The sequence below is a fragment of the Homo sapiens genome, chromosome 2, assembly GCF_000001405.40.
Source record: "Homo sapiens chromosome 2, GRCh38.p14 Primary Assembly".
Lineage (NCBI taxonomy): Eukaryota > Metazoa > Chordata > Mammalia > Primates > Hominidae > Homo > Homo sapiens.
In genome coordinates, this window is record NC_000002.12 from 15,438,773 (window position 1) to 15,465,631 (window position 26,859).

At 38.4% G+C, this 26,859-nt stretch overlaps 1 protein-coding gene across 11 annotated transcripts in view, besides 1 other annotated feature; it reads right to left on the minus strand.

Moving 5' to 3' along the window:
• NBAS (NBAS subunit of NRZ tethering complex) overlaps positions 1 to 26,859 on the minus strand; it is a 782,426-nt gene that overhangs the window by 659,864 nt on the left and 95,703 nt on the right. For 9 of the 11 annotated variants that reach the window (XR_007076390.1, NR_052013.3, XM_017004317.2 and 6 more), the window contains 2 exons: positions 22,915 to 23,019; positions 22,429 to 22,565 (listed from right to left, as the gene is read on the minus strand). Coding sequence is in view for 9 of the 11 variants with exons in the window: in XM_017004317.2 (XP_016859806.1) it covers positions 22,429 to 22,565; positions 22,915 to 23,019 (242 nt within the window). In the remaining 2 variants the exon portion in view is untranslated. Of the gene's footprint in view, positions 1 to 13,274; positions 13,479 to 22,428; positions 22,566 to 22,914; positions 23,020 to 26,859 lie in introns of those variants that run through there. The other 2 variants (XM_011510361.3, XM_011510360.3) reach the window with 2 other exon arrangements.
• Positions 10,434 to 10,935: an enhancer, noted in NCBI's record as "NANOG hESC enhancer chr2:15589330-15589831 (GRCh37/hg19 assembly coordinates)". NCBI's record gives its function as "activates a minimal SCP1, AML or CMV promoter by ChIP-STARR-seq in primed H9 embryonic stem cells {active_cell/tissue: H9 hESC(primed)}" and the evidence as "EXISTENCE:reporter gene assay evidence [ECO:0000049][PMID:30033119]".

The following is a 26,859-nucleotide window of genomic DNA, read 5'->3' on the forward strand; positions in this document are numbered from 1 at the left end:
AAGCTCCAAAAATCCTGGGAGGGGTCCCTCTAGTCATTGACTAAGCACTGCTCAGTGTGTACCTGTGATGAAATCACACAAGGATGGGGAAACCAACCAAAGGAGCAGAAAGAACATCCCTGGACCTCACATAGGGCCAGGAATAGTTCAAGTTCCAGTCAGCCAGAATACGAAAAACTAGTAATCTGTAGGGTAACAGGTTTTATTATTTTATTTCATTATATATTAAAGAATATTACCCGGCCGGGCACGGTGGCTCATGCCTGTAATCCCAGCACTTTGGGAGGCCGAGGCAGGCGGACCACGAGGTCTGCAGATCGAGACCATCCTGGCTAACACGGTGAAACCCCGTCTCTACTAAAAATACACACACAAAAAAAATTAGCCGGGTGCAGTGGCAGGCACCTGCAGTCCCAGCTACTTGGGAGGCTGAGGCAGGAGAATGGCGTGAACCGGGAGGTGGGGCTTGCAGTGAGCTGAGACATCGCCACTGCACTCCGACCTGGGCCAAAGAGCAAGACTCGGTCTCAAATAAAAAAAAAAAAAAAAAAAAGAATATTACCCCAGCAGGTGAGCAAAATTAGCCTTAGACAAAAGGCTGCCCTGTTCCCACTAACAAAGCTAAAAGGTAAACCTCAAGATCATCAAAGTTCTTGAGTAATTTAACTGCACCCCAGAAAAAAGCTTCAGAATACTTTCAGGGATAAATTAAAAAAAAAAAATCTTGAGGGGAGGAGCCAAGATGGCTGAACAGCTCTGGTTGCAAACAGCAACAGCTCTGGTCTACAGCTCCCAGCGTGAGCGATGCAGAAGATGCATGATTTCTGCATTTCCATCTGAGGTACCAGGTTCATCTCACTAGGGAGTGCCAGACAGTGGGCGCAGGTCAGTGGGTGCAGCGCGCCGTGCACAAGCCGAAGTAGGGCGAGGCATTGCCTCACTCGGGAAGCGCAAGGGGTCAGGGAGTTCCCTTTCCTAGTCAAAGAAAGGGGTGACAGACAGCACCTGGAAAATCGGGTCACTCCCACACGAATACTGCGCTTTTCCAACAGGCTTAAAAAATGGTGCATCAGGAGATTATATCCTGCACCTGGCTCGGAGGGTCCTACGTCCACGGAGTCTCCCTGATTGCTAACACAGTTGTCTGAGATCAAACCGCAAGGCGGCAGTGAGGCTGGGGGAGGGGCAACCGCCATTGCCCAGACTTGCTTAGGTAAACAAAGCAGGCGGGAAGCTCGAACTGGGCGGAGCCCACCACAGCTCAAGGAGGCCTGCCTGCCTCTGTAGGCTCCATCTCTGGGGGCAGGGCACAGACAAACTAAAAGACAGCAGTAATCTCTGCAGACTTAAATGTCCATGTCTGACAGCTTTGAAGAGAGCAGTGGTTCTCCCAGCACCCAACTGGAGATCTGAGAACGGGCAGACTGCCTCCTCAAGTGGGTCCCTGACCCCTGACCCCCGAGCAGCCTAACTGGGAGACAGCCCCCAGTAGGGGCAGACTGACACTTCACACGGCCCGGTACTCCGCTGAGACAAAACTTCCAGAGGAATGATCAGACAGCAGCATTCGCGGTTCACGAAAAACCGCTATTCTGCAGACACCGCTGCTGATACCCAGGCAAACAGGGTCTGGAGTGGACCTCTACCAAACTCCAACAGACCTGCAGCTGAGGGTCCTGTCTGTTAGAAGGAAAACTAACAAACAGAAAGGACATCCACACCAAAAACCCATCTGTACATCACCATCATCAAAGGCCAAAAGTAGATAAAACCACAAAGATGGGGAAAAAACAGAGCAGAAAAACTGGAAACTCTCAAAAGCAGAGCAACTCTCCTCCTCCAAAGGAACGCAGTTCCTCACCAGCAATGGGACAAAGCTGGATGGAGAATGACTTTGATGAGTTGAGAGAAGGCTTCAGATGATCCAACTACTCCGAGCTACAGGAGGAAATTCAAACCAAAGGCAAAGAATTTGAAAACTTTGAAAAAAATTTAGACGAATGTATAACTAGAATAACCAATACAGAGAAGTGCTTAAAGGAGCTGATGGAGCTGAAAGCCAAGGCTGGAGAACTACGTGAAGAATGCAGAAGCCTCAGGAGCCGATGCGATCAACTGGAAGAAAGGGTATCAGCGATGGAAGATGAAATGAATGAAATGAAGCGAGAAGGGAAGTTTAGAGAAAAAAGAATAAAAAGAAACGAACAAAGCCTCCAAGAAATATGGGACTATGTGAAAAGACCAAATCTGCATCTGATTGGTGTACCTGAAAGTGACGGGGAGAATGGAACCAAGTTGGAAAACATTCTGCAGGATATTATCCAGGAGAACTTCCCCAATCTAGCAAGGCAAGCCAACATTCAGATTCAGGAAATACAGAGAATGCCACAAAGATACTCATTGAGAAGAGCAACTCCAAGACACATAATTGTCAGATTCACCAAAGTTGAAATGAAGGAAAAAATGTTAAGGGCAGCCAGAGAGAAAGGTCGGGTTACCCACAAAGGGAAGCCCATCAGACTAACAGCGGATCTCTCGGCAGAAACTCTACAAACCAGAAGAGAGTGGGGGCCAATATTCAACATTCTTAAAGAAAAGAATTTTCAAACCAGAATTTCATATCCAGCCAAACTAAGCTTCATAAGTGAAGGAGAAATAAAATACTTTACAGACAAGCAAATGCTGAGAGATTTTGTCACCACCAGGCCTGCCCTAAAAGAGCTCCTGAAGGAAGCACTAAACATGGAAAGGAACAACCGGTACCAGCTGCTGCAAAATCATGCCAAAATGTAAAGACCATCGAGACTAGGAAGAAACTGCATCAACTAACGAGCAAAATAACCAGCTAACATCATAATGACAGGATCAAATTCACACATAACAATATTAACTTTAAATGTAAATGGACTAAATGCTCCAATTAAAAGACACAGACTGGCAAATTGGATAAAGAGTCAAGACTCATCAGTGTGCTGTATTCAGGAAACCCATCTCATGTGCAGAGACAAACATAGGCTCAAAATAAAAGGATGGAGGAAGATCTACCAAGCAAATGGAAAACAAAAAAAGGCAGGGGTTGCAATGCTAGTCTCTGATAAAACAGACTTTAAACCAACAAAGATCAAAAGAGACAAAGAAGGCCATTACATAATAGTAAAGGGATCAATTCAACAAGAAGAGCTAACTATCCTAAATATATATGCACCCAATACAGGAGCACCCAGATTCATAAAGCAAGTCCTGAGTGACCTACAAAGAGACTTAGACTCCCACACATTAATAATGGGAGACTTTAACACCCCACTGTCAACATTAGACAGATCAACGAGACAGATAGTTAACAAGGATACCCAGGAATTGAACTCAGCTCTGCACCAAGCGGACCTAATAGACATCTACAGAACTCTCCACCCCAAATCAACAGAATATACATTTTTTTCAGCACCACACCACACCTATTCCAAAATTGACCACATAGTTGGAAGCATTCCTCAGCAAATGTAAAAGAGCAGAAATTATAACAAACTATCTCTCAGACCACAGTGCAATCAAACTAGAACTCAGGATTAAGAAACTCACTCAAAACCGCTCAACTACATGGAAACTGAACAACCTGCTCCTGAATGACTACTGGGTACATAACAAAATGAAGGCAGAAATAAAGATGTTCTTTGAAACCAACAAGAACAAAGACACAACATACCAGAATCTCTGGGACACATTCAAAGCAGTGTGTAGTGGGAAATTTATAGCACTAAATGCCCACAAGAGAAAGCAGGAAAGATCCCAAATTGACACCTTAACATCACAATTAAAAGAACTAGAAAAGCAAGAGCAAACACATTCAAAAGCTAGCAGAAGGCAAGAAATAACTAAAATCAGAGCAGAACTGAAGGAAATAGAGACACAAAAAACCCTTCAAAAAATTAATGAATCCAGGAGCTAGTTTTTTGAAAGGATCAACAAAATTGATAGACCACTAGCAAGACTAATAAAGAAAAAAAGAGAGAAGAATCAAATAGACGCAATAAAAAATGATAAAGGGGATATCACCACCGATCCCACAGAAATACAAACTACCATCAGAGAATACTACAAACACCTCTATGCAAATAAACTAGAAAATCTAGAAGAAATGGATAAATTCCTCGACACATACACTCTCCCAACACTAAACCAGGAAGAAGTCGAATCTCTGAATAGACCAATAACAGGAGCTGAAATTGTGGCAATAATCAATAGCTTACCAACCAAAAAGAGTCCAGGACCAGATGGATTCACAGCCGAATTCTACCAGAGGTACAAGGAGGAACTGGTACCATTCCTTCTGAAACTATTCCAATTAACAGAAAAAGAGGGAATCCTCCCTAACTCATTTTACGAGGCCAGCATCATCCTGATAGCAAAGCTGGGCAGAGACACAACAAAAAAAAGAATTTTAGACCAATATCCTTGATGAACACTGATGCAAAAATCCTCAATAAAATACTGGCAAACCGAATCCAGCAGCACATCAAAAAGCTTATCCACCATGATCAAGTGGGCTTCATCCCTGGGATGCAAGGCTGGTTCAATATACGCAAATCAATAAATGTAATCCAGCATATAAACAGAACCAAAGACAAAAACCACATGATTGTCTCAACAGATGCAGAAAAGACCTTTGACAAAATTCAACAACCCTTCATGCTAAAAACTCTCAATAAATTAGGTATTGATGGGACGTATCTCAAAATAATAAGAGCTATCTATGACAAACCCACAGCCAATATCATACTGAATGGGCAAAAACTGGAAGCATTCCCTCTGAAAACTGGCACAAGACAGGGATGCCCTCTCTCACCACTCCTATTCAACATAGTGTTGGAAGTTCTGGCCAGGGCAATTAGGCAGGAGAAGGAAATAAAGGGTATTCAATTAGGAAAAGAGGAAGTCAAATTGTCCCTGTTTGCAGACGACATGATTGTGTATCTAGAAAACCCCACTGTCTCAGCCCAAAATCTCCTTAAGCTGATAAGCAACTTCAGCAAAGTCTCAGGATACAAAATCAATGTACAAAAATCACAAGCCTTCTTATACACCAATAACAGACAAACAGAGAGCCAAAGCATGAGAGAACTCCCATTCACAATTGCTTCAAAGAGAATAAAATACCTAGGAATCCAACTTACAAGGGATGTGAAGGACCTCTTCAAGGAGAACTACAAACCACTGCTCAATGAAATAAAAGAGGATACAAACAAATGGAAGAACATTCCATGCTCATGGGTAGGAAGAATCAATATTGTGAAAATGGCCATACTGCCCAAGGTAATTTATAGATTCAATGCCATCCCCATCAAGCTACCAATGACTTTCTTCACAGAATTGGAAAAAACTACTTTAAAGTTCATATGGAACCAAAAAAGAGCCTGCAACACCAAGTCAATCTTAAGCCAAAAGAACAGAGCTGGAGGCATCATACTACCTGACTTCAAACTATACTACAAGGCTACAGTAACCAAAACAGCATGGTATTGGTACCAAAACAGAGATATAGATCAATGGAACAGAACACAGCCCTCAGAAATAACGTCGCATATCTACAACTATCTGATCTTTGATAAGCCTGAGAACAACAAGCAATGGGGAAAGGATTCCCTATTTAATAAATGGTGCTGGGAAAACTGGCTAGCCATATGTAGGAAGCTGAAACTGGATCCCTTCCTTACACCTTATACAAAAATCAATTCAAGATGGATTAAAGACTTAAACGTTAGACCTAAAACCATAAAACCCCTAGAAGAAAACCTAGGCATTACCATTCAGGACATAGGCATGGGCAAGGATTTCATGTCTAAAACACCAAAAGCAATGGCAACAAAAGCCAAAATTGACAAATAGGATCTAATTAAACTAAAGAGCTTCTGCACAGCAAAAGAAACTACCATCAGAGTGAACAGGCAACCTACAAAATGGGAGAAAATTTTCGCAACCTACTCATCTGACAAAGGGCTAATATCCAGAATCTACAATGAACTCAAACAAATTTACAAGAAAAAAACAAACAATCCTGTCAAAAAGTGGGCAAAGGATATGAACAGACACTTCTCAAAAGAAGACATTTATGCAGCCAAAAAACACATGAAAAAATGCTCACCATCACTGGCCATCAGAGAAATGCAAATCAAAACCACAATGAGATACCATCTCACACCAGTTAGAGTGGCAATCATTAAAAAGTCAGGAAACAACAGGTGCTGGAGAGGAGGTGGAGAAATAGGAACACTTTTACACTGTTGGTGGGACTGTAAACTAGTTCAACCACTGTGGAAGTCAGTGTGGTGATTCCTCAGGGATCTAGAACTAGAAATACCATTTGACCCAGCCATCCCATTACTGGGTATATACCCAAAGGACTAGAAATCATGCTGCTATAAAGACACATGCACATGTATGTTTATTGCGGCACTATTCACAATAGCAAAGACTTGGAACCAACCCAAATGTCCAACAATGATAGACTGGATTAAGAAAATGTGGCACATATACACCATGGAATACTATGCAGCCATAAAAAATGATGAGTTCATGTCCTTTGTAGGGACATGGATGAAATTGGAAATCATCATTCTCAGTAAACTATCGCAAGAACAAAAATCCAAACACCGCATATTCTCACTCATAGGTGGGAATTGAACAATGAGAACACATGGACACAGGAAGGGGAACATCACACTCTGGGGACTGTTGTGGGGTGGGGGGAGGGGGGAGGGATAGCATTGGGAGATATACCTAATGCTAGATGACGAGTTGGTGGGTGCAGCACACCAGCATGGCACATGTATACATATGTAACTAACCCGCACATTGTGTCCATGTACCCTAAAACTTAAAGTATAATAATAAAAAAAAATTTTTAAATTTACTTTCAACTAAAAAAAAAAATCTACATCCAAATTATGTAAAATTCTTAATGTCTGTTATCCAATAAAAGTTACCAGGTATGTAAAGAAGAAGGAAATTATGGCTTATAACCAGAACAAAAATCAATTTCTTGAAACAGATCAAGAAACACCAATGACATGAGAACAAGAGGCACAGAATATTAAAGACCCAAATCAAACTTCTAGGAATGAAAAACATAGTCTCGGAGATTAAAAAAAAAATACACTGAAGGCATCAATTATAGACAAGTCAGAAGAAAAGAATAGCAAATTTAAGGACACAGTAATAGAAACAATCCAAAATAAAATCAGTATAAAAAAGAAACTTTTTAAAATGGGCTGTAAGATATGATCACATGGTCAACATACATATAATAGGAGTCCCAGAAAAAAAAAAGTGTGTGTATTGGGAAGGAGAAACAAGGAAGGGAAAAAAATATTTGAAGAAATAATGACCATAAATTTCCTAAATTTGGTGAAACTCTGAAGTCCATAGATCCAAGGAACTTGATAACCAACAAGAATAAACTCAAAGAAGAACACACCAAGGCATATAATAATAAAATGGCTCAAAACTAGTTATAAATAAAATCTTAAAAGCATGCAAAGAAAACAAGACACATCATGCAAAGAGAAACAAAGATAAAGAATGACAGCAGACTTCTGCTTAAAGCAATACAAGCCAGAAGACAGCAGGGTAGCTCCAACGAGGTACTAAACAAGTACAACTGTTAGCCTAGAATTCTATACTCAATAAAATATCTTCCAAAACTAAGCAAAGATTTCTCCCCATCCATAAAAGCAAAGAGAATTCAACATCAGCACTGCAAGGCATGCTAAAGAAAGTGTTTCAGGCTGAAGGAAACTGACACTAGATATAAATTGTATCTACACAAAGCAATGAAGAGGACTGGAAATGGTAAATATGTGTGTAAAAACAAAATACATTTTCAATTTTAAAAAATTACTGATAAGAGCAAAAATAACAAAAATGTATTACGGAGTTCATAACACATGCTTGTAAAAGTTAAATGTATGGCAACAATAGTGCAAAAGCCAGAAGGAGGAAAATGGAAAAACATTATTTTAAGTTCTTACATTATACATGAAGTACTAGTAAACTATTTGAAGTTAGACTATTATAAGTTAAAGAAGTCTACTATAAACCCTAGAGCAACCACTAAAAAGAAAAAAAAAAATCACAAGAAAGTATAACTAACAATTCAATAAAGGAGATTGAATATAATTATAAAAATATTCAAATCAAAAGAAAACAGAAAAAGAAAAAAAGGGAAACAATGAAAAATTGAGACAAGTAGCAAACAAATATCAAAACAAATACCAAAAACGGGACAAGTAGTAAACGAATACCAAATGCCAACACACGGGACATGTGAACAAATGAAAATACCAATGGGACAGTAGTAAACAAATACCAGTTTAAAACATCAGCTTTACGCTGAACCATATTGAACCATGCCTTAAATACAAACAGTAAGTCCCAGCATGCCAATTAAAAGCTACACATTGCCAGACTGGATAATACAGAAAGATCCCATTATATGTTGTTCATAAATAACACTTTAAATTGTTTTTAAAAGTCAATGTACATCCAACATTAGAAAAGCAAGAAAGGCATCTGACTTGATGGATATGAGAATTTCATCTCTGTTGAGAGGGAAAGACAGTTCTTTATGTTTTCCCAGAGTTTAGGTAAAATAGTTCTCTTGGTCCCTTGATTAAGAGAAAAAGCTAATGTGCTGTGTTAGAAACCAAGATAGTGGCTCTCTGGAGTGAGGTGGCTAGAAGACGGTAAAAGGAGAGAGCACAAGGGATGCTGGTAATATTCTGTTTCTTAATCATGTTCACTTGGTGAAAATTCATCAAGTTGCACATTGATGATTTGTTCATTTTCCCGTATCCATAATTCAATTAAAAGTGAAATTTAAAACCTCAACTTCATTTGATGCAATGCTCACTAAGCAATTTTTTTATTAGTAATTTGGAAACTCAGGTACCTCACACCAGGAAAGGGGCACTGTCTCAGATAATAAATCAAAGCACAAGTGTTATCAAGAAGAAATACTCCTGTCTTACTCCATTTATGCTGCTAGAACAAAATACCTGAGACTGGGTAATTTATAAATAACAGAAATTTATGTCTCACAGTTCCAGAAGCTAGGAAATCCAAAATCAAGGGTTTGGTTTCTGGTGAGGGCCCAGTCTCTATTTCCAAGATAGTACCATGTCACTGTGACCCTCAGAGGGGACGAAGGCTGTGTCCTCACATGGTGAAAGGAACAAAATGGCAAGAGAGCACTCCTTTCTCTCTCAAGCCTTTATAAGGGTGCTGATCCCATCATGGGAACTTGGCCTCCCAAAGGCCACACCATTTAATACTGTTGCATTAAGAATAAAGTTTCAACATGAATTTTGGAGAGGGCATCATCAGTCGAACTACAGCAATTTCCTGTTATAATTTTCTATTTTGTTAATTCATCTTCAGCCTTTTGCAAGCCCTTTTAGCGTACCTAAAATTAAAAGACATCTATAATATAATGTATATTCCTATCAAAATCTACAGAAAAAAATTGCTGCTGCTACTCCTATAACCATATCCCCTATTATCACCACCATTACTGTCTAATGAACACCACTTATATGCTAGCAACTGTGCTAGATGATGTATCGCTTACGTTACTTAATCATAAGTACCTCTACAATCTCCCATTTCACACTTGAAGAAACTGAAGCCAAATGACTTTCCAAAAATAACACAGCTAGCATGTACTCACACAAGACGTACGTCCCTGTTTCTGATGGAATGCACCACTCTTTCCAGTACACTATACTACTACCTCTCCACATTAAGTATGTCAGCACCATATGCCATGTGATCCCAACATTCATATATGTCATGGATTTTTTTTCACAGTTCCTATTACATGGCATCTAAACTTTTAGGATTAAATGAAATAGGCACACACTGAGGACAAAACTTTTCTTAAAATAATCCATGTCTTGTCGACAAAATATTATTTTGATTCTTAGCAGAATTTTTCTTCTTATAAATGCAATGCTTAAACAGGCTTGCCTATATCAGAAATTAGAAAAAGGGTTTATTTATATGTTAACTAAATATAGTGTGACAAAGACACATGGCTGTTACAGACAAGTTTTACATACTAATGAAATGTAGGACCAAAAAGAATTATAGGGACTATTTACCTCAGGCAATACAACCATTCAGAAGATGTTACGATCTATGTAAGAAGCACACATTCTGAAATTATTGGTCAAGGTTTTTAGAGTTTGCAAGAAAATGAATATGAAAGAGAACTCCATGAAAAGGGTATCATTTGGTATCTGAGTCTAGTAATAGCATCCTTCTTTTTAAGAGAACACATTAGTTTAAAAAAAAGGATCTCTCAAAGATTTCTTAATTTCAAATAAAAATGGAAACTGAAGATTATATTGTTACATTAAAAATACTGGAAAATAGTTACATTCACACTAAAACAGTAATAAAATTAAAATTATTTATTAAAATAATTCCCTATTTCTGGACCTGTTTCACTGATGCCTCACAATCTTGCCCTAAAAGCAAAATAATCCCTTTCTGCTTATCTCATGAACATGCTATGTGAACTATATGTGAAACATAAAGCTGGTTTGTAAACTTAAAAACAAATGTTCCATAGTCAGTCATGAGATGTTTGTTGAATAAAAGAGGAAATGGGTTAATTAACTAGTACATCTTCATTTCTTTAGGACTCCCCAGAGTACCAGATACATAACAAATATCAATGTCAACATACTTCCAAGGCCCAAAAAAACTACTCTGAAATAATACTGACTTACACCTTCTTAATCAGAGAACTCGCCCTGAACCCTTTTTTTTCTTTAAATAGGAAGATAAGAACCCATTCTATCAAGATCTAAAGTGCCCACAGTGCCAGAAGACATGCAAACCAATTACCCCTACCACCAGATCCTAACCCTGTTCCCAGCCAATAGAGGCTGTTAGGCCTTTCTTAGCTGATACAACCACAAGGTTATTCTTAGATTCAGGAACTGCCAGCATATTCCACTCTGTTAAGTACTCTGTGGACTCCTCTCTGCGGACAGTCACCTCAGAAGGCCAAACACTTTTTCCAAGTCAGAAATACAAAGCCATTTTATTGTTTTTTCCTCACAGCAGCTCAGAAATAAACTGCACACAGGGGAATTGAATTTTGATTAGGTAACTAATCAAGTTTTCAATCTTAAAGGGAAAAGAAACACTTTTATGTTTCCCTGGAGAATCAAAAAGTAAATGCAATGCCCTAATCTTTCCATAAATATTTCATCATCCAGCCTACAGTTAAGGTGGTATTTTATTATCACAACAAAATTAGGGTAGAACTAGAATACCAAATGAAAATTACTTCTTTTTAAATTTCAGGGAATACAAAAAGAAATAACAGGACTAGGCTATATAAAAGCATAAATAAAAAGAGATTCATCTTTGTTTACTGGAAATATGCTACACTAGTTCATTTTCACCTAACAAATTAATTGGGAATATATTTTGTACTCTGTGAATAAGCAATATGATATACACAAAGACTCAGTATGTGAAATACTTTGGATTAAATATACATTCAGACACTTCTTTCCTACTCAAATTTCCCAACATCAAAAACATGCTCAACTTTCAAGGTCTAGATCCAAATCTTACCTTTCCAAGAAGGCTTTCCTGATTCACCTCCTTTGCAACAGAAAGTTGCATCTCTCCCATCTCTAAGCCTATCTACCCTCCTCATATAACACATTTTAAGATAGGTGTATCTATCTTAAAGTTGTATCTAACCTGTCTGATCTTCCCCACTAGATTACAAATTTATCTGTGGACAGGTACCACATCTGATTCACATTTCTATTTATTTACTGAATCAAATATAATTCCTTTATATGGAACACAAGTATTCCCTAAACATTTCTGAAATAATATAAAATTTATATGACTCACACATTTTTGCTAAACTGTTCTTTCAATGAAAGTGAAACAATATAAAGCAATTTAGAAATGTTTAAACTTATTTTTCTTTTTTTCAGCATCAGGTTCATTTTTGATGCTTTCATTTTTAAATGAGTTTACATGTACTCATGATTAATTATAAATTTCACTCAAAAGAAGGTTAAAATTCAAAAGCCAATAGCTGCTTTGCAAGAAACATTAACATTCTTCTTATGGAAGACAACCTTCTGGAATATCCATAAAACTATGAAACTATACCAACAGTAATTGATTCTGGGACTGTTTGGGAGAAAAAGGTAATTTAGCTTCATTCATTCATTCATTCATTCATCCATTTATTTATTTATTTATTTGACAGAGTCTTGCTCTGTTGCCCAGACTGGAGTACAGTGGAGCGGTCACAGCTGACTGTAACCTTGAAATCCAGAGCTCAAGTGATCCTCTTGCCTCAGCCCCCGAGTAGCTGGGGCTACAGAAGTGTGCCACCATGCCCAGCTAATTATTTTTATTTTCTGTAGAGACAGCGTCTTACTACATTGCCCAGCTAGTCTCAAATACCTACCCCCCAGCTATCCTCCTGCCATGGCCTCCCAAAGTGCTGGTATTATAGGCATGAGCCACCGCATCCAGCCAATTTACATTCTAAATTGAAAGCTGCCTAGAGTCCATTTTGGTGTCAATAAAAAAGACAGTTCAAATTATTTCATTTCTGGAAAATCATAAACTAATATAATCATCAAAATATCATCAACTTAAGGCCTACAGTATAGTAAAAAGTAGACTTCCATCTACCTTTGATTTGTGAAGAACTGGAATAATATCCTCTGATCTTTTTAAAGGTAAATTTCTTATTAATGATTTAAATTATAAAGTGAATCAATTTGACCTAAATCAAATTTGTTCTACTGGAAATTTTAATAATATGAATATTGATGTTTTGTTTTCATATCATAAGTTTTACGCTGTTGTAATAACACAAAAAGTCTCCACGTTTGCCTATTCAAATCCACAAGAGTAAAATAAAGTATCAAAAGACACTAGAAGTTCCCTTCAGGTTGGATACTCTCTTTATCACCAAAAGATGAAGAAGAGGTTCTTCGAAGGGATTCAGGCAAAAATAGTGACATAATCTCCCATCTCAAACTAGAGTTTATCTTCATCCTTTACAGTTTTGCAGCATAAACAGAAACATGACCCACAAGTAGAAACCACTCTAAAGCTTATTTAATCTTAATATTAATTTCACCAGAAGTATATCATACCTTGAGAACATTACGCTAAAAAAAAAAAAAAGTCAATAAATGAACAAGTACTGTATTTCCACTTACATGCCATACCTAGAGAAGTCAGATTCATTGAGATACAAAGCAGAAATGTGGTTGCCAAGGGCTAGGTGGGAAGATGGGGAGATGTTTAATAGGTATAGAGTTTCAGTTTTACAAGATAGAGTTCTAGAGATTGGTTGCATAGCAACGTGAATGTACTTAACAATGTTGAACTGTACACTTAAAAATAGTTAAGATGGCAAATTTTATGTTAGGTGTATTTTACAATTCAATATTTTTTAAGATAAAATTAAAAGTGTATCATGGCCAGGATGGGCACGGTGGCTCACGCCTGTAATCCCAGCACTTTGGGAGGCCGAGGCGGGTGGATCTCAAGGTCAGGAGATCAAGACCATCCTGGCTAACACGGTGAAACCCCGTCTCTACTAAAAAAATTAGTCGGGCGTGGTGGCGGGTGCCTGTAGTCCCAGCTACTCAGGAGGCTGAGGCAGGAGAATGGCATGAACCCAGGAGGCGGAGCTTGCACTGAGCCGAGATCGCGCCACTGCACTCCAGCCTGGGCAACACAGAGAGACTCTGTCTCAAAAAAAAAAAAAAAAAGTGTATCATAGCCAAATGGTCCTAATGGTCCCTATGCTCAACTGAGTCAACAAGATATAAAGATATAAAGTGTGATTTATGAATGCACAAAAAATGTATTCGCTCTGAATAGGATTGTAGAAGAACACAACTAGAATTATCTCCATGTTTACAGTCTGAGAAAGCCAACAACAGGTTTCCTTTCCAGATTCGGTTTCAAGAGAATGCTTCTGACTGCATCTTATTTACTTTGTCACACTACCTTGTATTTTCTAAATCTGCTCACGTAATCATTTATTCATCCAACAGTCATTAACCATCATTTCATGTATGCACTATATTCACAGCACTTTATTAGGAGATATGTGTTAGTCTTGTTATTTTAAAAAAATTGTCACAGGATACTATGACATCTGCAAACAGAATAGTACCCTCCAAATTGGTCACTAGAAGGGTGAGTGACCCTCCAGAATGGGTAAGTGACAATGACTCATCAGTAGGGAGAAAAGAATGCCAGACTTCTTTACCTGATGACACTCCCCAGTTAAAATTGGGAATTGGAAAACTTCTGGAGACCCTGAATTTCCTGTTGCACCATCAAGTGGGGCAGAGAGCACAAAAGGAACAAGGCCCAAGGAAAGCAGGAATGACCCAGGGTTAGCAAGAGAATAAAGTACCAAAGCCATCAGTTAAAGCATGTAGAGCACAAAGAGGCCCTAAGGAAGAACCCTTCTGCCAACAGGATTGTCATACAATTTATCACACTGTTTTGCAACATTGTTCTAAATGAAGGCAGGTGACTGTGCTTTCTGTGCTCTAGGAAAACAGCAGTTTCTGAAGATGGGGACTAGGTATATACTGACATAAGATTAAATTGGCATCCTATGTGATCTAAACCACTGGTGACCTAAAATTGTTCACTCAGTCACTTTTTAGCCTTACTGATAAGCCATAAAATTACTGTGAAACCAAAGGTCAAGAATAATTAGAAGACAACAGATAATCCATGCAATCAAATTCAGAAAGAAAAATGGCAACACCGAAAACATATTTTCATACTTTACTCAATTACAGTCCATCTGCATGTTACAGCAAGCTTTTCACAGTCAAACTTTGAATCATCAAATAACCTAACTAAACTTAGATACTTACAAGCAAGCAAATTGCCAGGATACTATAGTAACAGCTTTTCTTTTCTTTTTTCTTTTTTTTTTGAGACAGAGTCTCACTCTGTCACCAGGCTGGAGTGCAGTGGCGCAATCTTGGCTCACTGCAACCTCCACCTCCTGGGGTCAAGCGATTCTCCTGCCTCAGCCTCTGGAGTAGTTGGGACTATAGCTGTGCGCCACCACGCCCAGCTAATTTTTGTATTTTTAGTAGAGACAGGGTTTCACCATGTTGGCCAGGATGGTCTCAATCTCTTGACCTCATGATGCGCCCGCCTCGGCCTCCCAAAGTGCTGGGATTACAGGCGTGAGCCACCACACCCTGTCTAGTAACAGCTTTTCTAAGAGGGCGAGAAGAATCAACAGAGATTCCATCAACAGAGTTTTCCCATTAATACTATAAAATATTTTAAATACTGCAATATTTCAAATATACTAACTATAATTCAGTATTTTCTTACTGATTCTGGAGATAATATAGGAATATAAATGAGTATCAATTCTCATTGTTCAGTAAACATATAATTGTCACAGCATTTCTTAATGAACAGATATGGAAAAATAGAGTTTATTTCCAGATATTAAAAGTAATGAAGTCTAAATGCAATGTGGTATCCTGGACTGTATCCTCAAACAGAAAAAGGATATTAGTTAAAAAAAAAAACTGTTAAATCCAAATAAATCTGTAGTTAGCTCACAGTACTGTACAGTCAGTTCTGCTATAATATTTTAAAATGCAAATTTATTCCAATGAATGGATGTATTAGGAAACAACTTACATGTTACACAAATTTCTCATTTGCTGATGCACAATTTCATCCTTCTGCATGTTACAGCATCAGGTGAACATGGAAAACTGCACCCTGCTGAACCAAGCCATGCCGGATTCCGTGTGCATGTACATTCCTCAAACATCTACCAGCTACTTCAGTTCACCAAGTGTGTGAGAAGCAACTCCCATCCACAGCTGGTGTTATAACTCTCCATCAAATTTCTGATCACCCTCCTTTCTCCACTTCCCAATAGCTCACAAACTGCCACTCTTCTGATACTCACCTTCCATAAGCAAGGTCTTCTCCAGGTATTTTTCAAGGTAAAGGGCCATATTTTAGTATGTAAGTATTTCTTAACCATTCAATACACATAAAACTATACTGCAATTTTTTTTTTTTTTGAGACAGTCTCACTCTGTCGTCAAGCTGGAGTGCAGTGGCACGATCTAGGCTCACTGCAACCTCTGCCTCATGGGTTCAAGCGATTCTCCTGCCTCAGCCTCCTAAGTAGCTGGGATTACAGGTGTGTGCCACCATGCCCGGCTAATTTTTGTGTTTTTAGTAGAGATGGGGTTTCATCACGTTGGCCAGGATGGTCTCAAACTCCTGACCTCAGGTGATCCGCCCACCTTGGCCTCCCAAAGTGCTGGGATTACAGGCGTGAGCCACCGCACCCGGCCGATGCTATAATTTTTGTTAGGTTACTAAATATGTTCCAGTGAGCAAAGTTCTTGAGTACTATACCATTAATCCCCTTTTTCTCATATGCCCTATGGTTTTCACTAAATAATTCTGTATAATGCAGTGACTTTTAGGAATTCATGTGTCACATTATAGCAGAACGGACTATTCCAGTGCTAATTTCTAATTTCAACAAATATGCTATGGTTATATAAGAAGAAGAAAAAAAACCTAGGTGAATAGTATATAAGAATTATCTGTATTACCTTTGCAACTGTTCTGTGTACATATTCCAGTAAGAAGTTTAAAGCAATAAGTATATGAAGTATATAAGCACATAAGACCAAGGCTTCAGCATGGGATTCTGTATTAATAATAATTGCTAACACTAAAGCAACACTTACTTGGTGCCAAGCACTGTCCTCAGCGGTTGATATACCTTAACTCATTAATCATTCTCACAACACTATGAAGTAAGTGCTATGAGCATATCCACTTTACAAGTGAGAAGACTGCAGTGCAGTTAAGAAACCCAAGATCACAAACATAGGCAACTAGATAGTCAATGCTCTTGCTCCTACGCTACACTATTTCAACAGACAACTGTTCAAAATACAGTCTTTTTAACCAAATTGTATTCATCACTCAGGAAATATTTTTAAATAGAAAAAGAGCAAAAATGAAAAATCTAAATAATCTTTCTGAAATATGCTATAGGCACCAAAAAATACCCCACTGCCAAAATGCTTCTTCTAACAGAAAATCTCTATTATCTCAAGTTGTGGAAGCTAACAAAGACTGCAAAAAATGTCACCTTTGTACTTTAAAACAGCCAACTAGAATATAAAATGTAAACATTTTATAACAGTTACAAACTCAGAACAGGTGGCTATAAAAAGATGCATCAACTATGACAGCAAATGTAATTTCAAAGCTTTACAAAACTTGGTCACATTTCATCAATGTCAAATACACATGATGATTTAAGACTGACAATATAAAACACAAAAATAGCCCATAATTTAGAAGTTTCCCAGCTTTCATAATCATAAAATGTGTCTGAATCGAAAGTGGTTAATCAAATGTTGGTTAAATGCCAAGGCAAAAGTTCTGCCAGTGGGATCTCAAAACAGAGCAGGCAATAGGTCAACTTGGCATAACTTACTATTGCTTTGCAAAATTTAATATAGCTTGAACTCTAAAATCTAAAATTCTATCTACCCTTCTATGCACTTAATTTGTGGTTCCTAAGTCACTCATTCTTTCAAAAAAATACTTCCTGAGCTACTGGTTTGTACTAGGCACTGTTCTCAGTACTGCAGCTACATTCGTGAACAAGAGGCAAAGTCCTTCTTTATGGATCTTACATTCACTCATGCATTTATTCATTCACTCAACAAGTATTTAACGAATGCCTACTTTCCAGGCAATATTCTAACTGCAGGAGATAAGGATGGAAACAAAACACACAAAATCGCTGTCCATTGGAGCTGCTATTTCAGAAGGGGAAACAGACAATAAATAAGATAAATAAGTAAAACACAAATTAATTAGATTACTATATAATAAATGCTAGGAAGAAAATAAAGCAGAGAAGGAAGATTTAAAATGAGAGTAGAATTTTAAATAGGAAGGCCAAGGAAGATCAGATAAAGTAGAGAAGACAAATAACCATGTAACATATTAGGAGTAAGGCTATGAAGAGAAACAGAGTATAGGCAAAAAGCAAGGGCAAAGTGAAGCTTATATGAAAAATGTGATCAGGGAAGACCTTTATGAAGAGATATGCTGAGTAGAGATTCAGAATGAAGTAAGAGACCCAGTCACAGGATGACATGGGAGAAGGGCACACTAAATTAAAAAGACCCAGGGCAGGAGCAGGCTTGGCAAGGTCAAGGAACAGCCAGAGGCCTGTGTGGCAGGAATGGAGAGAGCAGGGGGCTCTATGCAAGCCTCCTAACAGCTGGCTGAAGACTGCACAGTGAGACAGGCATCTGGGGAGCCATACACTTAAGAGTCTAGTGACTTGTTTCAACTCAAGTCACTAATTGACTTGAAATCAATTCAACAGATTATTAAAAAGTCATTATTACTTGCAAAATATAAGTGGAGGAGTCAAAGAAAAGAGCAAAATGAAACAGGCTGAGCCACTGAGCAATGTACACTCTCATAGAAGAATAAGGCACACACATGGAAAGTTAACGGCCATCCAAGGCAGTGAGGGGATGTCAAGGTCATTTTGTTAGTTTTCAGCATTGCTATTGACGAGAAAAAAGAAAAGAGCAGAATGAGCTGCAATTACTTATTTAGGGTATGTTTAAGTTTTCTTTCTTCCTCAGTTTAAAAGCATGATGCTGTAACAGGAAGTGCTACTGCTTCGTAAAGCATCCCTGATCACTCGTGCTGAAGAGGAGCTATGCTCTACTCATCCTCAATCCCTACCACAGTTCCATGCACGTTCGAGGTGCCCAACCAATGGTGCGTGGAAAGTGGAGGAAAGCACTCATGCACCAACAAATAGGACACTGCTCATCTGAACTGCTTCCAAGTGAGCTGAAAATGAATATCAAGTATTCAAAGAACCCTCACAACGGAAATAATTTCTAGAAGTACATCTTACTGCTCTACTTGTCATTTAGGGTAAAGCTTCAATTAGAATAAAAGAGTTCTGTCCTTAACGATGGGTTGAAACAGCAGTTGAATCCTTCAGGTCCTCGGTAAACACAGACCTGGGCTTCTTCCAGGTTAGCAAGTGAAAGTCCATCTGCACTACCTGCAGGAAACTTCATAATCTCTTTTTTAAATGACACAAGAGGACCTAATTTATGCAGTCAGCAAATATTTTCAGTATACTCACTATACAAGCGCCGCCCTAACTGGGATCTGAACATAAGGAAGAGATGGTCTCTGTCTTTAAGAGTTACTCGGATATTTATTAAAGAAGGAAATGAGGGAAAAAGGCAGAAATAAGTATGACTATAACACAGTGTAAAAAGTGTTACATTATGAAAATAAAGAAAGAATTATGAGTATAGGGAAAGGAGTACCTTATAGAAATCCTCCTAGAAGAGGTTATGCCTGAAGCACAAGTGTGATTTTGCTTTGCAGTAACTATGACATGGTTTAGATGTTTTTTCCCACCAAATCTCACACTCAAATGTGATTCCCAGTGCTGGAGGCGGGGTTTGGGTGGGGACAACTGGATCATGAGGGCAGATCCCTCATTAGTGGTTCAGCACCATCCCCTTGGTGATAAGTGAGTTCTCACTCAGTTAGTTCCAGTTGTTTAAGAGTCTGGGACCTCCCCCTTTTCTCTCTTGCTTCCCTCTCACCATGTGAGAGCGCTTGCTCCCCCTTCACCTTCCACCATGACTGGAAACTTCCTGAGGCTCTCACCAGAAGCAGATGCCAGAGCTATGCTTCTTGTACAGTCTGTGCAACTGTGAGCCAATTAAAACTTTTCTCTTTATAAATTACCCAGCCTCAGGTATTTCTCTGTGGCAACACAAACAGACTAATACAAACCTAAATTATGAAAGGACAGAGATATTATTGTAACCTATTGTTCATTCTCACTATTTACAACTATACAAAAAAACAGTGTGAAAGACTTTCTTGAGAACAAAGGTTAATTTTAAAAAAACTCTATTTTTTCCAAATGTGTTTGAAAACAAGCTAACTTAAGAACTCATAAGAAATCAGTCTCTTCAAAGTTTGTCTAAACAACATATCCCCAAACAATGATTCAAAATAACATTATATTCTTTTAATTATACTCTGCTGCAATAGGGTATGACTAAATTATTGATCACAATTTAAACTGGTTCTTGTGGCAGGCCCCATAAAGGAACCACAGGGCATTCAAAGAAAAGTGTGGCATTGGGTACTGTGCAGCTCTTTTGCAAACCAACTTTCAAATTTCAGGTTAAAATCAAATGCTTATCTAAGCAATCATCAGAAAACACTGACAATAAATGCATCCAAATCTGAGGACATGGGGGAGGCCCTTCAGGGTGGTATGGCCTAGACAAATGTATCCAAATCGAAGGAGAAACTGCCTTTAAAAAAACCGTTAAGAGACAGTAGCCCTTTTCTCTATACTAACAATTTACAGTAGGAAAGATCATTTCCATTTTCCATTCAGATTAGATTTATTCTGCAAAGAGATAGAGAACCATTGATCTAATTATATTCTGAAAACATGCATAAAATATATTTATAAAACATCATTTACATTATCCCTCACTATACAGATCTAAAAATTATTTGAAAATGAAAAAAGCATCCTGAGCATTTTTTCTTTTTTTTTGAGATGGAGTCTCGTTCTGTCACCCAGGGGTGCGATAGCTCACTGCAAGCTCTGTCTCCTGGGTTCACGCCATTCTCCTGCCTCAGCCTCCCAAGTAGCTGGGACTACAGGCCCCTGCTACCACGCCCAGCTAATTTTTTATATTTTTAGTAGAGATGGGGTTTCACCATGTTAGCCAGGATGGTCTCGATCTCCTGACTTCATGATCCACCCACCTCGGCCTCCCAAAGTGCTGGGATTACAGGCGTGAGCCACCGCACCTGGCCCTTTTTCTTGATTTTTATCAGAACAAAGAGTTACTTTTCAAGGACTAACACTAATGTAAACTAAGGAGTTTATAATATATTCTCGCTGCTTACTGACCTACAACTTAAAGTAAATACGGGTTCAAATTCTGGCTGCCCATATATAGATTTCAGCATGCTACTGAACTTCTGTAAATCTCAGCTTTCTGTAATAACAGGGTAATACCAAAATTATTTGAAGACCAGAAATAAGTGCCAAATACATAGTAATTACTCTATACATGTTGACCATCATCATTAATACCCATGCCTAGAAATAGGATATTGAGTGGAGGCAGCAAGGGAGGAATGAGGAAACCAAATGATCCCCTAATTTGAATAACATCTCTTAGCACTGTAAGTTTCCAGTAGCTGAAATTAGTAAAAATGATTTCAGTCAGAATTATCTTAACAGTGTACTACAAGGTACTTTACAGTATACTATAGTTAACAAGCAGATATTATAATTATCAATTCTGGTGTTACTAAAAATATGCAAAGTGAGTAAGCAAGACAGGGACTTCAACCCATTTTAAAGATAAGTAACTCAAATGCAGAAAAGATAAATCATGTAGTTAATCATTGAGCCACACTTACTAGTGGGCTAGCTTACCTCACGTAAAAGTTCACACAAATGGATGTGTCATCTTACTCTTTTGCCTTATGCCTCTATTCAGTAACTGACCTAAGCAAGGTATGCTAAGCCCTCTTTTCTCCCAGGTGCCATTCAGGCCTGGGGCAAATGGTCTGTTTTTGAGCTATGCAGTGAGACAAATGTACTCCCTCTCCTTTATTCTCAAGAACAGATGTTCTGGCCTCTGGAAGACTACCAGGTGGTAATACAGGGACTCAATGGTTCCAACATAGGCTTTGACACTATATCACATGCCCCAACCCAATTATCAAATCACCGTGAATTAAGAGGAGGATAATTAGTCTAGTGGTAAAGCAATATTTTGATTTCCCATTTGTCTTTGTGCCTGTGGAATTTCCTATGAAGAAAGGGTTGCTGAGCAAAGGAGGATGCAGTATTCCTGGGTTTCTGGGTCTTCCCACCTAATACTGTCAAAAACACACTTCAATTTCTAAAAGATACAACTAACTCAGACATACATTATCCTAAAAACTGTTCTAAACCAGAAAACAGTACATACTGAATACACAGAAGTAAAATCAGGAGGCTTTCAAAAAAAGGAAAAATTTGTGCTCATTAAGTTAAGGTAAGCCTGTTACACTGGAAACATTTTGGCTTCAGGACCATTTACAATAACTTAATTTTTTATCAGGAAAAAAGTTTAAATATATTACATTAAAATTATTTTTTTTAACTTTAAGGTGTTCAGCATGACAAAAAAATTATCAATATAAAAAAGAAGGTAAAATTCTGTTAACATAGTCACATACCAAGCTTCGGGCAGCAAAACAGAATATTCATGTGGAGAAGTGGTCTCTGGAAAGTTGGACAGAATTGCAAGGCGATGAGGAAGCAGGTCGGAACCATGGTAAGTAAACAGAATTTCCAGGGCTTGTACATTACTTTCCTGTACAAAAGGCAAGGGGTAAGTTTCTAATGTAAATCTAAGAAATAAAGGAGTGATTTTATATGACAACATTCAAAAACTAACTTTTTTATGCAGCTCTGATATGAAACACCTTGAAATGACCCTAGTTTTTCCTAGCCTATATCCTGTTTCTCAATCTAAGGCTATGAAAATTATTTATTTTTAAAACTCAGAATGATGGATATTAAATTAAAATTTTCTCTACACTTATTAATATTAAAACAAAAAAGAAAATGTAATATATGCACACAATAACATTAACTGCACAGCTCAAAGATTTAGAGAGTGTTAATAACCATAATTATTTTATTTACAAAAAGCAAATTACCTGAGCATAAGTTCTTGCTGAGAGAACAATATTCTGATTTCTGAATTTCTTAAAGAATTCAGCATCATATCTCTGTTCAGATGCATGAGGCACTCCTAGGATTTCCTGAGGGGAAATTTAATGAAAAGTGATTTAATGAAAAGGCTTTTAAATATGGGTGACAAGAAAATATTAAAAACCTTTACAACTCTGCCTGCCTAAATAAATAAGGCCTGAATTAATTAATTTCAACCATCAATTGTTAACTAAAGTACTACATCTGCATTATTGCCTTTATTTTGGAAAGGGCTATATTAATAAATGTTATTTTTTTAATCCGGAAGTAAATGAAATAGGCAGTAAAAATTAAGTTAATTGCAGTAGGACAACCAAAATCAACCACCAGGTAAAAATAAGCAACAGTTATTCATGACAATGTATTATGAGCACCTGAACCTCTATAGATGAACTTTAGTTTCACCACTGCTAGGGTGACCTATGTCAAATGCAGATTGAACCATTCATTCATTCAACAAATATTAACCGAGTGCCACTCACCATGTGCTAAGGGAGCTGTGATAGGCACTGTGATACATTGAACAATACACTTTTCCCACCCTCTAATGTGCTTAAAATCTAGTAGGAAAGACCAGGAACAGGTGAGGGGAAATACTCAGTAAGGTGCCACAACTAGTTCTGGGAGGACAGAGAAGTGGCCCACAAGCTGAAACATAAAAGACAATGAAAAGTTAGCCATGGAATCGCAAGTGTAGGTCTCCCTACTACAACGTATGACTTAGGGCTCATGTCTGCCATGTTTAATACTGAATCCCAGATTCCTAGCACACTGCCTGTCAGTATTCTTCTGACTGTATTTATAAATAGCCAATAAATATTTGTTGACTGAATTAATTTGCTGAGACAGGAAAGAGAAGAATGAGGAGATGTGGAGGAGGTGAGGGAGGGAGGGAGGGAGGAAGGAGAGCTGAGCAGTTCACTTGTAGATGGGTTAAGTTGGCAACTATGGCATGTCTAAAAGGAGCTATGCAGCGAGCAGGTGAATACACAGGTCAGGAGTTCTGGACTAAGATGTGAGTTAGAGATATATGGCATAGGGCTATTAATACAGAAGTATTATTCCAAGGGAGATTAAATAGAATGAGTTTGAAAGAGCCTTGAGGAACAACATTATTTAAAGGATGAACAAGGAAAAGGGAACCTGCATCTGAAAAGTAGATGGAGGAACAGTCAGAGAAGTAAAGGGAAAAAGAATTTAATGCATACTCATGGAAACCAAAAGAAGAAAAGTATTTCACAGATGTTCCAGCCAGGCGTGGTGGCTCACGCCTGTAATCCCAATACTTTGGCAGGCTGAAGTGGGAGGATCGCTTGAGCCCAAGAGTTTGAGAACAGCTTGGGCAAGATGGCAAGATCTCACCTCAACAACAACAACAAAAAATTAGCTGGGCATGGTGCCATGTATCTGTAGTCCCAACTACTTGGGAGACTGAGATGGGAGGACAGCTTGAGTCCAGAAAGTCAAGAGTGCAGTGAGCTATCACTGTGCCACTACACTCCAGCCTGGGCAACAGAGCAAGACCCCGTTTCACAAAAAAAGCTCTCAGTTCCTTGATTCCTCATGCATGACAATTATTTCCTTTATTTCATCTCAGTTACACATCCTGTCACAAAACCCTGGATCTCTATCATCATCAAAAGACACTGTATGAAACACTTCAATGTCTAACCCCGACTCTGTGATCACCGCTCCTAATCTTCCTAGTCGCATACTAAGTGGTATTTTAACTACTCCTCACCCTCACAGAGGCATCCAATCCACTCACTCCATTTTGTTCACTTTCCATTTCCCCTCAAAGTCCCTCATTCCTTCTATCAGCTTAAACTGCCTGGTTCATGGCTTTAAAAGGGTTTCTTAATCCCTGCCTCTTTCCCTTTATCGCACTCATCCAGCAAATCATACCCTAACCAGTCAAACCCAGCTATGATCCCTGAACACAAGCTATGAAGTCACTGAAGATATGCCACAAAACCAAGCTGACAGTTCCCATTTTAATTTCAAAACCTCAACACTGCTTGAATCCTCATTCAAATGAACCAAATGCAAAAAAAAAAAAAAAAAGCACCAGGAAAATCTGAAGATGAAGTATCAGATGTTATTAGGGAATTACTATTAATTTTGTTAGAAATAATCATATCATTGTGGTTATAGTTTCTTAAGTCCTTCTTAGACACACATACCTAAATATTTATGGGTGAAATAAGATATACGGGCTTTGCTTTAAAATATTTAGTGAAAGAGAGAAGGCAAGAGTAGAAACATGGAGAATAAAAGACACACAACTGGCGCATGCTGAAAATGGTTGGTGCTGAGCAATGGGCACATCGGGCTCATCACACCACTCTTCTCTCTACTTCTTTGACTGACTGAAGTTCTTTATAATAAAAACCTAAAAAATTGACAAACTCAAGACAACACAATTCAAATAGATAATTAGTGCTGTTCATCAACGCTACTACATTTCCCTAAGAAGTTTTATTTCCTAGTCTCTGTTAGGAACTTTTCCACAACTCTCATTCTTTCCAGACTTCCAACACACTATTTCTCAGCCCCTATTCTCAGCTGAAAACCTTGCCTTTTTTGGACACTATTAGATGAGAAATCCCTCATTTTTCCAACCCACCAAAACTACACACCTACCTGCATCTGTAATAAGATTTTCCTTCCTCCCAGTTACAGCAGAAAGAAACATATCTCTGCTCCTAAAAAGCCTCAAAATCCCACCCATGCCCTGGATCCCATTTCTACTCCACTTCTATAATCATGCAAGTATCCCCTCTTTCTTCTGTTCCATAAAGTCCTCCTCACCCTCTACTACTTCATTCCCATTAATATAAAAACAATACTTCTTCCTTCTATTCTAAACACCTGCTCTAGACACCACCATCTTCTCTGCCCCTCTTCACAGTAAAACTTCTTGAAAGGGCTACCCCCAGCCACAGTCTCCTCTCCTCTCCTTCACTTTTTGTTATTTCCTAAACTTGCCCAACCTCTGACAAAAATTCAATTCAACTACTTACATGGCAGGAGACCTTTCCAAACATCACCACAAACTATTCTAACCATACTTCCCACCTTTGTTCTGTGCCACCCCTCACGCTCCCCATCCTGTACCCTGACTAGCTTACTTACTCAACAGCATGACACTTGCTTTCATGCCACTGGGCCTTTACATGGCACACTGATTATCAGCATGGGCTACTCGTCAGAGAGACCTGATTATGAGCCCTTGCTTCCTATTTATTTGGACAAATTACTTACCTTCTCTAAGCCTCAGTTTTCATACCCATAAAATGGAGAGAAGATGATAGTACCCATCTCATAAGACAATGGCTGACAAATAGTTAAGTCCTCAAAAAAATGTGTTGGTATTTCTTAAGGGTATTCTCCTACCTACTGGTTCTTGCAACAAATATTTACTGACCTCTTCAATGAGCCAGGAACCGTTCAGAGCTCAGAGACACAGCAGCAAACAAGACAAATCTCTAACTGTATGGAGACTCCATTCTAATGTCCCCCTTATGGTACTCCCTAGTCCCTGAAATCTGCCTGCCTTTTGTGAAAGGCCAGCTATTACTTCCTATGTGGAGTCTTCTCAGACATCCCCAGGAAGAATTTGACATTCTTCTTCATTATGTTTCCTCATCAATTCTCCATACCTTTCTTATCAGCATTTAATGCCTATACAATGTGAACTCCATGAAGCCCATTCCTTGTTCCTTTCTCTACCTCTAGCAATGGCACAATATCTTGCGTTTAGGAGGCATTCATGTCAAATCTAAATGAATTCGTTTTTATCTCATTTATCACAGTATTAATAAAAGAAGCCATGTCCTGTGATTAAAATGCAATGCCTATCTCTACTACTATCTAATGGTTAGCTATTA